Source organism: Homo sapiens, chromosome 3, assembly GCF_000001405.40.
Source record: "Homo sapiens chromosome 3, GRCh38.p14 Primary Assembly".
In the NCBI taxonomy this organism is placed as follows: Eukaryota; Metazoa; Chordata; class Mammalia; order Primates; family Hominidae; genus Homo; species Homo sapiens.
In genome coordinates this window covers 188,572,979-188,590,257 of record NC_000003.12, presented here as the reverse complement: position 1 = coordinate 188,590,257, position 17,279 = coordinate 188,572,979, and the positions used below count along the sequence as shown (strand labels likewise).

The 17,279-nt window shown below is 38.7% G+C and overlaps 1 protein-coding gene across 59 annotated transcripts in view; it reads right to left on the bottom strand.

Annotated features, from left to right (window-relative positions):
- LPP (LIM domain containing preferred translocation partner in lipoma) overlaps positions 1-17,279 on the bottom strand; it is a 737,651-nt gene that overhangs the window by 300,414 nt on the left and 419,958 nt on the right. Inside the window, exon 1 of one of the 59 annotated variants that reach the window (NM_001387675.1) lies at positions 5,776-5,920. The exons of the other annotated variants lie outside the window; for them this stretch is intronic. The gene's annotated coding sequence lies outside the window, so the exon portion shown is untranslated. Of the gene's footprint in view, positions 1-5,775; positions 5,921-17,279 lie in introns of those variants that run through there. 59 annotated transcript variants of the gene reach the window in all.

Sequence of the window (17,279 nt, the reverse complement as noted above, 5' to 3'; positions counted from 1 at the left end):
TTATTTTAAAAGATCTTGAAGAACATGTAGATTGTTCCTAGATATTCTCTATGTAAACAAAAAGCATCTATATGAGGAGAACACAGCACACAATACCATTATAAAAGAAATCATACATTTTATCTGCTTCAACTTTTTACATTGCTCACCTGGGTCTGCTACACTGCAATTACCACCCTAGAATAAATGAGCTGTCATTCAGCAGTGCAGAACAAGAAAGGTTACTTAAGTATACGAAAGAGTGCTGTGCAGTGCAACGTAAACAAAAATTAGACATGACAACAATGCTGCAACAAACTGAACTACAAAAACAGAGCAAAAGGGGAAAACAAAAATCAGGCAAAACTGTTGTAAACAATAGCAAAACCTTCATCTTTTCAAATGGAGCTACACAAGCTACACATTTCAGGTCTTTAGTTCAAAATATGCTTTTTAAATAAATCTACAGGTTTTATTTTAAAAATGTAATAATAAAATATTCCCTGATAAAATTTGTGAAATTACCAATTACCATGTTTTATGATTTGTTTTTAAAATATGGCAAATGAGTAGCTTCAATATATAAAAATTAAACTACTTTGAGCCTCGCAAGTTTTCAGTGGTAAAGAAAAAAATGCAAAATAACTTTTATCATAGGATACAGGATGTTAAAACTTTATTTCAGGATATAATCTTTTTAAAGACATACTGGCATTCGAGTTTTCAAAATACATCTATTGGGCTTTAACCCACATGAGCATGACAGGAAAATCATGCAGGCATTGAGAGCTTCATGTCTATGTGCATAAACCATACGCTTATACATATCTTATTTATCTAATTATCCAGGATAGAGAATTGGCATTCATAGGACAGAAGGTAACAGATCTGCTTTCATTTTTCTTTAAATAAAGGAATTTGTCATTCTTTTGCAAAACTTGAGATCTAAATTAGGGAAGAAACTCAATAAGAGGAACTCACATGTTGCTTAAATGGACTAAATGCATTTCTTATTTGTGTTCCTTTTAATTTTCAGATCTTTGCCAATGCCCGGAAGTGATAGGCTTAATGCAAAAATAAGGAACCACATCATGTACACTCAAAAGTATATCAAATTATGTGTACATATATATGTACATATATATGTATATAGATATAAAAAAACACCCTCTCCCCTATCTATTACTAAGCACAGCAGCTCAGCACAAGGCACTGAGCTTTTTGTAGTAGGGAGAAATTTATCACAGGAAGTCCATGGACTCAAGAAGTCCACACACCAGCAAAAGAGGCAAAATAAACTTGAAAATAACTATAAAGTATAGTTGCAAATGCTAAGTAAGACAGAGAAGTGTATGAAAGTTCCAGATGAACTATGCTCAATCTGGCAAGCAGAGGGTGGCTCTCTGAGCCGTATCTTCGGAGGTGCGTGGAATCACAACACATGGATGGCTGTGTGTTTGTGGACACACATACACTGGCCTTGGAGGAGAAGGGTGGATCCTGTTTCCAGCAAACAATGTGAACAGAGACATAGACAAAAGGCTAAGGTGTGTATGGAGAACAAACAAATGTGGCAGAATTTAATAACAGCTAGTACATACAATCTACTAGTCCTTATTTAAATGCTTTACATATAAGTGAGGAAGAACCTATTATTATCCTCATTTTGTAGATGAGGAAACTGAGGTATGTGAGCTTAAGTAATTTGACCCAGGTTTCAGCATAAGCTACTGTTGGTATCTGAATCTACACATTGTGGCTCCAGAGTTGTTCTGTTAGCCACCTCTACACTCCATAAAGTAAAGAAGACGAATCAAGACTGAAAAATTAGACCAGGACAGATTGTGAAGGATAACATCTACCTTTAATTTTAGTTGACAACTAATTTAATAGAATTAAGGGACAAATATTAGGGCATAAGAAGGGCAGGGGAGGGACACAGTGATGAAAATAATACATTGTAGAGATAGCAAATACTTTCTGAAGAGAGGGGACCGTTTTTTCATTAAGAGTAAGGACACACACACCTCTGATGCAAATTACTTCTGTTTAGCTGAGGGTGACATTTTGTCTTGAAAAACACAGCTTGCAAAATGTTATTTTACTGAAGCCCTATTGTCAGAGCTGTATACGCTATTCCATATCCACATAGGATCTCAGTTTAAAAGATAACTATTATTTTTAAATATCAGAGTTTGTCTGCATGTGAAATGTGAATTTAAAATTCTTTCTTCACAGGACAACTAGGGGAATTTAAGTATCAGGTTAACACATTGTGAAAATTAAAACATCAATGATGACCACAGAACCAGATGCATGACTTTCCATTCATTAAGAAATATCATAGCCCAATGTACTGTATATTTGGAATTATCATGTTTTGTATTGTTTGAGGTTTTTACAAAGTAGGGTTGGGGGACACAAAGCGAGTAGGTAAATTATTCCCTAAACCTCTTAAAGAGTGAGCTCATCGACAAATAAGAAACCTATTTTATTTTAAAGGAAGCCAAATAATAGTAGACCCTACAAGATTCGCAACTTATTTAAAGTCCTGAGTACATTGCATCAGATAATTCTGGCCCACAATCTCTTAATCTAAATTCCAAATTCAACAGATACAAATCATATAACCACTTTACGAAAGGCTGTTTCAAAGTACAGTGCCTTTTTATTAGCCTATTATACAAAATTATGGTAATTTCTTAATAAAGTTTTGGAAACAGACCACATTATTAATTGTATGGCGTATATAATATTTAATTAAAGATGCATTATGCTGATAGAATTTAACATCTGGCACTCTGGTTTTGCAGACCATGGAGTGTAGTAACAACATGAAAATAAACAATCCCTATAAATGTCTTCTTGGGCTCCAGTCTTCAGTAGAGCGCCAACTTTCTTTTTTTTTTTTTTTTTTTTTTTTTTTTTTGAGACGGAGTCTCGCTCTGTCGCCCAGGCCGGACTGCGGACTGCAGTGGCGCAATCTCGGCTCACTGCAAGCTCCGCTTCCCGGGTTCACGCCATTCTCCTGCCTCAGCCTCCCGAGTAGCTGGGACTACAGGCGCCCGCCACCGCGCCCGGCTAATTTTTTGTATTTTTAGTAGAGACGGGGTTTCACCTTGTTAGCCAGGATGGTCTCGATCTCCTGACCTCATGATCCACCCGCCTCGGCCTCCCAAAGTGCTGGGATTACAGGCGTGAGCCACCGCGCCCGGCCAGAGCGCCAACTTTCTTTAAAACAACACTTAAGGGGCAAGCGCGGTGGCTCACGTCTGTAATCCCAACACTTTGGGAGGCAGAGGTGGGAGGATCACGAGGTCAGGTGTTCAAGACCAGCCTGGCCAATATGGTGGAAACCCCCGTCTCTACTAAAAAATACAAAAATTAGCTGGGCCTGATGGTGCGTGCCTGTAGTCCCAGCTACTCGGGAGGCTGAGGCAGGAGAATTGCTGGAACCCAGGAGGTGGAGGTTGCAGTGAGCCAAGATCGGGCCACTGCACTCCAGCCTGGCGACAGAGCGAGACTCCAACTTAAAAAAAAAAAAAACAATGTTTAAGGACTATTTTGCTAAAAATACCTACGAGGAGGGGAGAAACTCCCAGGGAACTGTCACATATTACACTGCTCAGCATTCTGCAGTTTCATTTCTCATAGAAATATCTTTTCTCTAAGCATGTTTTAGTAAAATGGGTGCTGCCTGAGGACCCTCACACACAATTAATAATTACTAATTTTTGAAACAGACACTCTAACGACTTTTATTAGTTTAACAGCAAGTTGTCTTACATGTACTTTCCAAAGTTTTCCAGACTCCTTTCTAATATCAATTAAACATGGTCCACAGTGGACTAATGAGGCCTATTTAGTAGCAATTCATAATTTACTGTGCTTGTACTGTTCCCTGCAGGGCTTTTTTCTCTCACTAAACCATAATCATATCTCATTACCATTGTTTCATTACTACATTTTTTGGTTTAAATTTTGTTGCTGGCATTTAGTTAAGAAAAAGACTCTTTCATATTACATATAGAACATTTTCCTCTTAAAATGTCAAACCAATATGTTTCCACCTGAAAAACACTGCACTCAACGTAAAACAGGCAATCTCAACAACAAAAATAAAAACAACAAAAGAATATTTTTTTCCTCTGATTTAAAAGTTATTTGATTTTGCTATAAAAATGGAAACAAACCTCCATAAAGCTAATGTATCTGGTAGCAATTTAACTTGTTGTACTTTAAAAGTAGAATGCAAAAGATCTTCACACCTCTTCCTGCCCCAAAGAGACCCTTTCCAGAAAGCCTGCCATCTTTTATTACAAAATGCAGTCATAGACCTTATGCTATAGCACCTTAAAGATGGATGCACAGCCTGTAAAACAGTGTTATCTAAAAATGCTGGTCTCCATGTAGACTTATATCTGTACATAAATATACAGGTATGTTTACATGTGTGTTTGCATATATTTCAAACACATTCAGTAAAGAAACAGAAATAATCTTGGAACTTCAGACATAAAACAAATACATTTACATGTTTTCTACTTTTTCCCTTATGAAATACCTGTATAAATATACAGTAATAGCAGGTTTTTAATTGTAAATGGTTTTGACGTTTTCAACTTCAGAATTTTAAAACATGTATTTGTAGCCCAGGGGCGAAAGCAGTATGTATGTCTAAGCTTTAGGACTAAAAGAAGAATGCCAAGTCCCCTGTGCTGGTCCCTTCAGTTGCAGAAGGGACCATTTCTCTTTGTCTCTTCCCTTTTTTACTAGGGGGCAGTGCTGTCAGAGTTGTGAGAAAATCTTTTCTACTATACTCCCCATGAATTCATTCAGTTGCCAAGGATATGGCTCAAGCTCAGAAGTCAGCCTTCAAAATAAGGAGAGGAAGAAGGAAAAACAAGTAAAATAAACTGATAGATCCCAACATAAAATGATGCATCTTAAGAGTAGAAAAATACAAAGGGGAGAGGGTTAAGACAGTGCATTTTAACAACCCATTGAATCTTCTTATAAAAACAAGGCATTGACATGCTAAAGGCAACAAGCTTAATAAGTTCTAACATGTTTTCCACCTTTCTGAGGACTCTGATTTCTCTAAATGAGTCACTGGTTCTCTGCAGAATCATATTAAAGTTAGATTATGCCGTGTGATTGACTTATTTATTTGTCCCTTTAAGTTGCCATCTGAAACATGAGCTCTGAGAGATCAAACTTCACCAATACTTGCCAGTCCTCAGTGGAAATCCTAGAGTAATTTCTTAAAACCAACAGTAAAAAAATTTCTAAACGCTTTAGGCAGTGATGCTTCATTTCAACTACATGAAAAAACTTTCATCCTAGTTTTAAAAAGTGTTATAAAAATGTTACATGAATGGAATTTTTCAGGGAGGGATAAATTTATATCACAGAGAGAACTCAGGCCATCTTCACCAGTTTTAATGTTTCAAAAAAGGTTGGTAGAAAAGAAGAGATCTGGGGCTCCGAAGTAAGATGATGTTGAAAGTATTGAAAAGACCCAAATAAAGAAAATGAAAGGAAAAAAAAAGAAGAAGAAAGAGAGACAAGCAAGGGAACAGGATGTAGAAATGAATAATTTAGATATACAGCATGAGGAATAAGCCATGCCAATAAGTAAAAAAACATAATTTAAATAGAAAATGGCTTGAGATTGTATTAAGTCATGGCCAACTTCACACACACACACACACACACACACACACACACACGACTAAAATTAAAAGAAACATTTAAACTTATTTTTCTAATCTAAAATGGGAAAGAAGCGCTTACTTTTTAAAGAAAAATTCCTCATTTAATTCTTTCTCTTATCAGAGAACCTTCTTTGTCAGTTTTAACAGCAGATTAATCACTTTCGCAACCTACGGAAAAAGTTTTCTGGAAAGCATAACAGCCTGCAAGTGTAAATGACAGTATTACTTTTCCTGCAGCTCACCCGCCTACAAATTCTCTCTCATCCATGACTCAGCATGAGGTAAAAGGAGCTAATGAAAAGGGCCACATTTCCTTTTAAAAATTGTGAACTTTCTTTCAAAGTGCAGAACTATTAAAAAAAATCCCCCAAAAGCTTGACAGAAAAATGAAGTAGCTCTCCATGAATGTTTGTCAGTTATATACCTAGAAAATTTCTTCCAAGTAATGTTAAAAATCAGCTTGCTGTTTGACTCCCACCCGAGGCCAAACGCTGTACTTGATTGGGGATGTAGTACTTACACATATCTATAGTACATTTGTAGGATTATGGGGGAGCAGGGGGCAGGGATAGAAATGTTGCTTTGCTGAAACCAAGACATCAAGAGGAAAGATGAGAAACACAGAACTTTGTGGTCAAGAGAAGGGACTTGTCCTGGGGCTTTCCCTCCTTGTAAAATACCAATTAATTTGATTTTGTGAAGAAGCTCTCTAGAAGCAGTCTGGTTCCTAGGGAGAAATTACAGAGGTAAGAAAATTCTATTTTATGATACAGAAGGAAAGATGGGATCACTTTGTTGTATGTGCACTGGCGAGACAGTCACACTATAAACATTCATCAAATATTTACTGAGTGTCCGATCTCTGCTAGACACTGTGCTAAGCTCTTGGCAGCTGAGACTAAGAAGTTTAACAACGCGGTCCGGGTCAATGGTCATCGTCCTCATGGAACTTAAAATGGGTGGAAAGAGGTTATCATTTGGGAGAGGCAGTGAGATAATGATCATTTGCAGGGTGGAAGGTGTAAGGATTAGGAAGTTCAAGGAGAAAAACACAGGAGAACACAGCAAGGACATTTAAACTAAATTATACCAGAGGAGTGTGCTGAAAATGTCTTAAGGGAAATGGCGTCTATGTTGAGACAAGGCAATAAAAGACTGAGGTAGTGAACAATGTTCCAGGCTAAAAACAATATCATGTGACTCTCCAGTGGTGGCTCAATGTCTCTGGGGATCAGAGCAAAGGCAGTGTGTGACTATAGCATGGTGCATAAGCGGGGTGGGAATGAGATACTACACATCTTCTTCATGTATACCAGAGAGGTATGCAACATCTAAAAAGAAAAGTTCAATTACTGTTCCTATTTCGCACGTGGAAAACAAACCAAAAAAGGTTATTTTGTCCAAGATCACATAGTTATATGAGATTCAAACTCATTTCTATTTGACTTCAGAGCCTGTTTTCCTAATCACTGTCTTATACTACAGGAATAAGGAGATAACATATTAGACAGGAAAGTAATACAGTCAGACTTGCATTTTAGGAAAGCCTTGGTGGATAGATTGGGGCGATGGTGGGGAAATGGATACAAGGAAACCCGTTAGGGGGATATCACCAATGGTCCATGAAAGATGATGCTGATCTGAAATCACGTACCGCAGCAGAAATGAGGAGAAGTAGAAAGATTGTGAAATATTTAGGAGGTAAAATTGATAATAAGGGAAAGAGAGGGCTTAGAAATAATACCTAAACTTCTGGCTTAGGAAACTGGTTAGATGGTGATGCCACATACCGAACAACATTGGAGTGGAAAAAATTCCTGAGAGAAGTGGATGAGTTTATTTTGAAAACATTGAGGCTGAGATTTCTGCAATACATCCAAATGCACCTGAGCGATAAGCAGTTAGAAACAATTGAATCTGAAGAGCAAGTTTACTGAAACAAATTTATATCATATTGTAGAGCTGATAGTTGAGGCCATAGTAGTTAAAGGCTCTCTTAACCAAATGTGGGAAGTGAAACAAGAGCAGGCCCTAGGAAAGACACCCCTCCCCAAGCCCCACCAAAGGAAAACAACATTCAAGCCCAGGCACGGTGGCTCATGCCTGTAATCCCAGCACTTTGGGAGGCCGAGGTGGGTGGATCAGTTGAGGTCAGGAGTTCGAGACAAGACTGGCCAACGTGGTGAAACCCCATCTCTAATAAAAAGAAAACAGAAAAAAGAAAAAAGAAAAAAAAATTAGCCAGGCATGGTGCACACCTGTAGACACAGCTACTCGGGAGGCTGAGGCAAGAGAATCGTTTGAACCTGGTAGGCAGAGGTTGCAGTGAGCTGAAATTGCGCCACTGCACTCCAGCCTGGGTGACAGAATGAGAGTCTGTCTCAAAAAAAAAAAAAAAAAAAAAAAAGAAAAAGAAAAAGGTAAAACGACATTCAAGGAGAGGGAGACGAAGAGCCACTAAGGAGAGCCCTGAAGTGAAATTGTTCAGAATGGTAGGAAGAAAACCAACAGAGTGTGGTGTGCAATAACTGTGAAAAGTTGGCAAGATGGCCTGACTGTGCCACAGATTTACATAAGGGCAAGTACAAAAGGGAAACTCTGAAAAAAGCCTACCGAAAGAAGGTCATGTGTTGGAAGAGTCGGCTGAAGTATTGAACCACAGACTGTAAGTTGGATAATAAAGGAAATATAAGAGACTGGTGAGGAAAAAGAAAGGTAATAGAAGGTAAATATGCTGAAGAAAAGTAGAATAGGAGTTACCTGAATGAGAGAGAGTGCTGGAAGAATGAGGGGTTGTGTTCCGAGGCTGGTTTTAATTTTTACGATTTAGGAGGTAAAATAGAGCGAAGCAATGATAAGATCCAGGGTATAACCAGGGGCTGTAGAGGCTGCAGCTGAATGGAGATGAGAGTTACAGATGAGTGAGTTGGGCCCTGAGCCTCCCAACAGGACTAACAGCCTGGGTAGTGGCAGGAGAGAGTTGAGCCACTTGTCCTGTGGTCAATGAGTAAAGTCCAGGACCAGGACATTAATGAATGACAGCAATGTGGAGAAAAGACCATTTAGTCGAATGTCTCTAACCTTCAAGCAGAATATAAACAGTACTAAATTGCAAGTTAAGAATGCAAGAGAGACAATCAACTCTGTATTTAAAACTAATACAAAAGACTGTCTGACCCACTGTGGTTCTGTTTCCAGGGCAGACTGGTGGAGCCTATCCAGGTCCAAGTGTGCCCGAGGTAAAATGCCAGTCTGTCCACATTTACTGTTCCCTAGACCTATCATCACTTCCAGTCACCATCTCCAACGACAATGCTGGCATTCTCATGGTTCTGCTTGAACCTTTATGCTCTTCCTGGACTTTTTTTGCCCTGAGGTATCTGTTGCTTCTCTACCACAGATTTAAATTCTGTAGAAAAAGACTACCCTCCTGTGATGGTCCATTTGTGTGTTAATTTTTTCAGGCTAAAGTCTCCATTTATTCAATCAAACTCCAATCTAGATGTGGCTGGGAAGGTGTTTTGTACATGTGATTAAAGCCTCTAATCAGTTGATTTTTAAGTAATGAAGAGTACACTAGATAACCTGGTTGAGCCTGATTCAATCAGTTGAAAGGTCTTGGAAGTAGAGCTGAGGATTCCTTAAAGAAGAAGGAATTCTCATTGTGGCAAGTAGCTTCATCTCATGCCACGGAGTTACAGCCTGCCCTTCCTAATTGCCTAATCTGTAGATGTTAGATTGCCTAGCCAGCCCACAAAATCATGCAAGCTACTCCTTCCCAATTAATGTCTTAATATATATCTTCTACTGATTCTGTTTTTCTGGCACTATTTTCTGTAGCCATCATCCATCATATAGGCTAATCTTTGACTTTTGGTGGGAAACAAACCATTCATAAGGGGTGCTGATGTTGCTGCAAGACCAATATGTAGACCACTCTTGCTACATAATGATTCCCACCCTAAATACAACAAATACTGCTTCTGAAGAAACATGCCTTCCTAGTATAAGCTGAGAACACTACCAGTGAATTTTCATAAGGACCTTTCAATAAGATGGAAACTCTCTGAATCCTTTAGAAGGTGTCAGCCATCTCATAAGGAGAAGGAAAGAAAGTACACAACATAAAAAGCTACCCCAAATGTCTTAATACTCGTATAGACAATGAGGTCATCAAAATCAGGAAGAGACCAGCAAAAGGTAGAGAAAAACATGATTAAAGAGGCAGAGGTTCTTGATCTTACTGATAATCTTTTATAAATTTTATCTGCCTATAATTATAATTAAATACTAAATGTTTTGAGTAAGTTTTTTTTTTTAATTGAGAAACAATTCTATTGAGAAAATACTTAATTTCAAGAGTATGACTCTCATGGAAAATATAACACAATTATGTTATTTTTCTGGTTAAAATAGGTGTTGGTACCTTGTCAATTCAGTTATTGCACGGTAGTACTATGGTTTGTATAAGCCGAGGTTTAAACCTGAGATCTTAACACATTGGGGTTTTTATTTTATTTTATATATGTGTGTTGTGTGTGTGTATTTGCTTATTTAATTAGAGGCAGGGTCTTGCTCTGTCGCTCAGGCTGGAGTGCAGTGATACAGTCATGGCTCACTGTAGCCTTGACCTCCTACCTCCTGGGCTCAAGCAAGCCTCCTACCTCAGCCCACCCCCAACCCCCCCAACCCCCAATGAGAGTGGCTGACACAACAAGTGCATGCCATCATGCCTGGCTAATCCTGGCTATTTAAAAAACTTTTTGTAGAGACAGGATCTGACTATGTTGCCCAGGCTGGTCTCAAACTCCTGTGCTCATGGGATCATACCGCCTCAGCATCCCAAAGAGCTCAGATTACAGGTGTGAGCCACGGTGCCCAGCCTCACTGGGGTTTAAAAAAAAAAAAAAGCGAGATTTAGAATTGTTAATAAAGTTAGATATTCAGTTACTAGAAGTACTATATTTAAAAATAAAATTTTAACACGATTGCTTTTATTGCTCTTTAATTTTAGTGTAGTTTTGTCCAGTTAACACAGAAACATGATGAACATGTATGATCTTTCTGTTTTGAAATAATTTAAGTAATTACAGAATGTTTTTAACATTTCAACATGTTAAGACCTTAATATGACACCCTTATTGTTCACATGATACCTGAAGTTCCAAAGAGGACACATTACTTTTCCAGTGTCATAGAGATTGGGTGGAACCCAGTCTAGAATGTCACTTTCCGACCTTTTTTCCCAGTGTTCTTCCCACTGCTCAGTGTTGAGTAAGAGAGTTTTAAAACAAATTCACACACACACCTCCATGTTCCCTGCTCTCCCCACCCTTAGTAAAATCCCCTGGGATGCTTTTGGCAGGATTCAGCGATGGCTTTGGCAGCTCTAGCCACGTTCCTGGAATCCATCTGCAAGTGCTGGTCAGCAGAGCCTGCTTCATTCCCTTTTTGGTATTAGTCAGTAAAGGTTAAGTGTATGTGAATTATCATAAGTTTATTTTTAGTCTCCCACTACCCCCTTTTTTTTTGGTAAGTGATCAATGACTACCAGGCACAGGAAATACATTTCACTGAATGATTTTCTAAAATCAAAACTCCATCTGGGCTGGAACTGAGACAGGATTAGGAATGACCATTTATAACATTAATATCAGCTACACTAAACTACTGAAAGATGCTTAGAGTGGGGAAAGGGTCTTCACCTTTGCCTGAAAGTACTTCCAAGGCTGAATCCTGGCTCCTCTGCTAGCCAATGTGTTGTGTGTAATAGCAGCACATGCAGCTGGTGATCACATTGTGACTCAGTGCACCACGGGGAGAGAGGGTCGGACGGATGAGGAACTAACTCAGAATTGTAGAACAGAAGTCTCAGCTAGCAAGTACTAAATGTGGTCTCCTTAGTTGAACAAATCAAGTTGAAAGAAAAAAAAAAGTGAGGGAATGAGTTGCTAAAGTTAGTTTCCTTAAAGTGAGAGATAATATTTCCCCTTTAAAAAGTAAGACACACAAAAAAACCTGTCGCCTTCATTGTGGATTAAGTTAATATTATAATAACTAAAACTAGTAGCATAGCATGGACTGATGAAGACAGTATTATAAAATGAAAATTAGTGTCAGTATAGCAGGGGTAGTCCTGGGATGGGGAGTAAAATTCATAGCCACAGCCATCTGGAGAAAGAAGAAAATAAAGTATATAAGCTTTAGCTATTAGGGACCCAAACTCCTGGCTGCTAGGAAGGAGGCCAATCAAGATTTTATGAACCTTAAAAGAAAAAAGGAAAGGAAGAGAAGGAAAGTGGGGAAAGGGCAAGGGAATGAAAGGAAGGAAGGGAAGAGGAAGGACCATAGTGGCCACTCCACTTGAAAGGGGTTTACTGCAACCACCAGTCTTATGTGTAAATGCTCTCTCTCTTCAGGGTAGTAGGCAAGGATGGTCACTCTATATTGAAATTATTATTAAAAACAATAGTTATATCTTTGTTTTGAGATAGATTCAAGTACAGAGACAAGGACAAGCCATCATCTTTCAAAAATCTCATCTCTTTTTCTACTGTAGTACATTTAAGATCTAGGTTTCACAGTTTATTCTGTGAAAGATTCTGGTTAGTGACTTTCTGGAAAGAAGGAAGGCGGCAGGGAGGGAGGAGAGAGAGAGGGAGATGGAGGTGGGGAGAGGAAGACAGAAGGGGGAGAGGAAAAGAGAGAGAGAGAAAGGGCAAGAAAGAAGAAGGAAGGGGAGGGGAGGGGAGGAAGGAGGGAGGGAGGGAAGGGAAGGACAGAAGGAAGGAAGGAAGGAACGAAGGAACGAAGGAACAAAGGAAGGAAGGAAACCAAAGAGAGGAGAGGAGGGAAACAGTAGAAAGGAAGGGAGGGAGAAAAAATGTAATAGTTTTTAATTTGCCTTTGTAGATATTTATTACTAAAGTTTTTTTACTTGCAAAACATATGTATATACATACATATACTTATATAAATTTATTAAAATATATAGTATACATACATTTATAAATATATTAATTACTGTATGTAAAACAAAAGCAAAGTAGGCTCATTAGAGAAAATTTAAAGATAAGTAGAGAAGTATAGAAAGAAGCCTGTTCCCAAAATCCCAGAAATAACTGGTTAGTGTATATTGACCATTAGATTTCAAGAAATACACACATGTACTTCTATATGTATGAAAATATATTCACAATTCAGATAACATATAGATTTGTCAATCATATTAGGCATGGAAGTAACTAGGGTGTATGTCTTATTTCACATAAGAGAAAATTAGATGAGAATAATTTGTTATTGTCAGGGAAATAACAGAATTAGGATTTTTTAAATCCAAAGCCCTACAATTATACATAATGAATAGCAAAGATATTTTCAGATTAAGTCTTACAAATCTAGAAAGTGTGAGGCAGAAAAAGCCAGTGTTTGAGAGCTCAGTGATCTTAAAAACAGCTACTGTCTTACAGGGGATTATTGCCACTTTGCCACTTCCAAAATGCTTCTTACTCCTTTCTACACAACACGTCTGTATGATTGCCAATGTTATCCTTCCATTTTACCCAAGGGGAAATGAGGCTCCAAGATAACCACGCTGATTAATGTCACCAACGCAGTAAATCATGGAGAAAGGACCTGGATGTCTGAAAACAAATTATTTTACAAGTGGAAAAGTTAACAAAGAATGTACAATGTTTTCTGAAAATGTGTAATTCTCTTCATCGTTTTGAACTGTGACTTCTGGAAATCTGCTCACTGGTGATGGAGATAGTCACGGAAGTATCACCCATCAGGACACAGTAAGATGCAGCCTCTTCTCCTCCCTGATTACTCTCATTTTGGACAAAATATGCCTACGATATGTAGCAAGACTAACATAATTTTCCTGTTAGAACTTCAAGAATTAAGATTCAGTGTTGCTAATCCTTGATTTGTTTTCTGCGATACAGAAGACAGGCCCTGAGACTCTGGTGACTTGGTGGTATAAAGTGAAGAGCACTGGACTGCAAATAAGGAATCCTGTACTCAGAACCCTGCATCACAGAATAGCCTTGCAAATGAGCAAGCCCGTCTCCTTACCTTTACCTACTCTACAAAACAGAAAATAAAGCGGATGAAAATCATAGAGGTACTAGGTAATGTGCCTGGCGCCATGTGTGTTATGCAGAATGAACCACTCAACATTCTACCAGCCTACCGTTTACCATCTCAGAGAGTGAGCCCACAACCCACTAACATATAATGAATGTCCTTTCCTCCAACCTGGTACCACTCAGTTCAACAGTGGCCATATCAATTCAATTGTTTAAATTCTGTGTACTTAAAGGAAATGCACCAATTGGTTTGAACTAAAGCAAATTCCTGCCCTATTAGAAGTGTGCAAAGACCAAAGAATATCAAAGGGCTACGACCTTTCCTGAATCAAGTCTGGATTTAAACCAATGGCCTTAAATAAAATAAGAAATACTAAAATAGAGAACATTAGCCTCAGTAGTTAAGAGCAGGGCTTTAAATCAGTGGACCTTGTGTGCTTGGGGGTGGAAAGTATCCAGATGACAGGCTTCTTCTCCAATAGGGCTTCTTTCCAAACATTTCCATGCATGTCTACTCACTACTGAAAGCTCAGGGTCCTAAAAGATCATCACATTTTATTCCTCAAATCCAGTCAATCACATAGAGGCATTTTCTTGTTTGGCTTGATAGAATAGATGAGAATGATCCCACATGATCCTAAGAGGCAGGAACAACTGGTGAGAACCCATTTCTCAGCATGCTTCAATCAAGAAGTCCACGTCATCAGCAGCGCTAATTTAATTTAAAAAAAGCGGTGGTGCTATAATTGGCTTGCCATTCTAGCTAGTGGGTTTCCAGGGTAACCGTGTTCTTGCCACAGATAAAATCTACCTAGTAGCACAAAGACTAAGGGTTTGAGAAGAGTCAGCATCAAATGAGAGGTCAAGAATTCAGCCTGAAGAGAGCTACATCAAAAGCATATTTAGTTAAGGTGGACCGGATCCAAAATCTGAGCCCTGCCACGTACTAGCTGTACCATTTCAGAAAAAAATATTTAACTTCTCTAGGCCTTGTTTCCTCATCTGCAAGATGAACACAATAATGGAACCTGTTCTTGTAGGATTGTTACAGGAATAAAACAGAGAACTTAAACATTAATTTGTACATTTTAAATCCAGACTAAACGTAAAATAAATAAATAAGACTATGACAGATGTCCCTAAACCTAGACATTCAGAGACTAGGAAAACTAAAAACAAAAAATCAAAATAAGTTTTGTTTTCTTTTTAATTTACAACTTCAGAGAAAAAGCATCCTGAAAGCTTCTGAAAAGAGCACAAAATGGCTTGTAAAACTACGTTGTTATACAGCAGTGCTCATGTTATTACTGCCTCCCAGGACCTGACTCCTGGGAATATGCTGCCATGTCAGAGGCAATTTGGAAAGTCTTAATTGAGGAGAGCCACAGCTTTTCAGGCCGCAAATTAAGGATGGGGAAACCTTCCTTGCTTAGGGTGTGACAGCCAACTGGAATGTTTCATAGCTGTAAATACAGCAGGCCCATTTACCACGATTCCCCTCAAGGAAGAGACTCATCTGCCGCAAACGTAACAGTGATGAAAAAAAGGGGGAAATTTTGCCTCTGAATGAAAAAAAAGACAGAAAAAAAGTGAGCAGTTTGAAGGGGTCTTTAATGTGTAAATTTCAGGAGGAGGGTATCACTTTTATTGTCTTTATTTCTATTAGAAAAGATATCTGAAGATGAATGAGTATAAGCTTCAGCTGTAAAATCCATCATGTTACACACCCCCCTTAGCCCCCACAACACACACACACACAGGAAATTACGCTGGCAAAAGAGAAATGGAATTACTTACACCTGTGCTCACACTGACAGAACAACTTTCAGGCAACAAGCAGCAAAGCAGTGAGAAACAAAGTTTGAGAGCAAGAACATGCACACACAAAAAAGTTTCTGTTGTCCTAAGATTAAATGCTGAGGCAGGAAGAGATACTATTCTTGAATCAAGTGAGAAAAGATGGTAAAGTGCGATATTAAAATGCAGCACACTGGAATAAGTTTGCCTCTATAAAAACTGTTATGTTCTGTATGTGATTTAAATTAATGCCTATATTTGTGGGAGATAAAATTAAAATGAAGATAAATGGTGCCAGCATATAGCGTGTTCGCTGGAGCAATAAATAAGGCAGTGAAAGGTATTTTACATTTCAGTCACATCTATCCAAACAGGGAGCTCAAAGCACTTGAGGAACATTTGTTAATTAAATGCTATAATAGATTTGTGAGTCACCCAGACGGTTATTATATACGTTTTTCAGAAAGAGACAGAGAGGTGAAGTGACCCAGGGTCCTCTGGATGCCACTGAAGAGGAAACCCAGGGTGCTGAAGGCATGCTTTCTATCCAGCTCAGCTGCTTCTTGGCCTGGTGGGAGGGCTTGGAAAGAAGCCTCTCTGGTTGCTGTCCCATTGAACAGAGCTCACAGGCTTTGGTTTATTAACTACCTCAATAGCAGGCAAGATTACAGTTGGAGCTACGGAGAAAGGTAATAATTCTGGCTCCCTATTAACAACATATTTCTCCTTTTCCCCCTTACATTACAAGAATGTCCTATGAATGATTAAATATTGTCATATCATTTATCTTCCACTTGCAAACTTGTCTAAACTATTGATTAGAGACGCCCTCTTTTCCAGTTGAAGCCCTTCAATTCTGTCCTCCACATGTCCTCTCTGGCCCTCCCCTGGTCACTGGCTTCCTGTTTTAGGAGCTCTATACCCCGCAACCCCAAGAACACAGTTTGTGTTCACAGCTCAGCTTGACAAGCAGCCAGATTAACTTGCAAAGTGAAATTAAGCAAGATTGAGAATGTATTGGTAATTGTGTATTGATCATTGATAATGGAGTAGACTGTGGCCACTCTACTGTTCTTCTACACGTTAGAAAACTCCCAAAATAGAAAGGTTAAATAAGTCAAAGGAGGAAGTATCTACCGAAACGCTGGGACAATGCCCCTCTGCTAAGCTACGACGTAAGTCAGTGGCCAGGAGAGGGCCCCTGGTTTCTGAAGATGAGGCGCCAAAAGAACACAGCAGTCATTGTAAGTGTAGGTCATTTGGGGCTGATCCAGGTGAAATTTTAGGGAGGCTTGGGGATCACCAAACCTCATCTCTTATTTTTCAGAACAGAAGATTCTCAACTATATTTGTATCTTCCTTTTACATTTTAAAAAATGCATTCAAATCCATTATAGTTTGAGACACACATCAATGTCACACAAGCAAAATCCCTGCTCTGTCTCTTCTGTGCAGGTTGGTCTACCCTTTTGTGCCTTGGGTTGTCATCTGTACAATGGGAATCATGATCATACCCACTTGATGAGTACTAAAGGACTCTACCCATCTAAAGCACTTACAACAGTGCCTGGTACTAAGAAGCACACAATGATTGTCAACCATTATTACTATTACAAACTTATTGACACTGTTCTCCACATATTTCCAGCTCTCTGCTCTGTGGCAACCCTATGGCTAGGTAGGGCCATGTGAA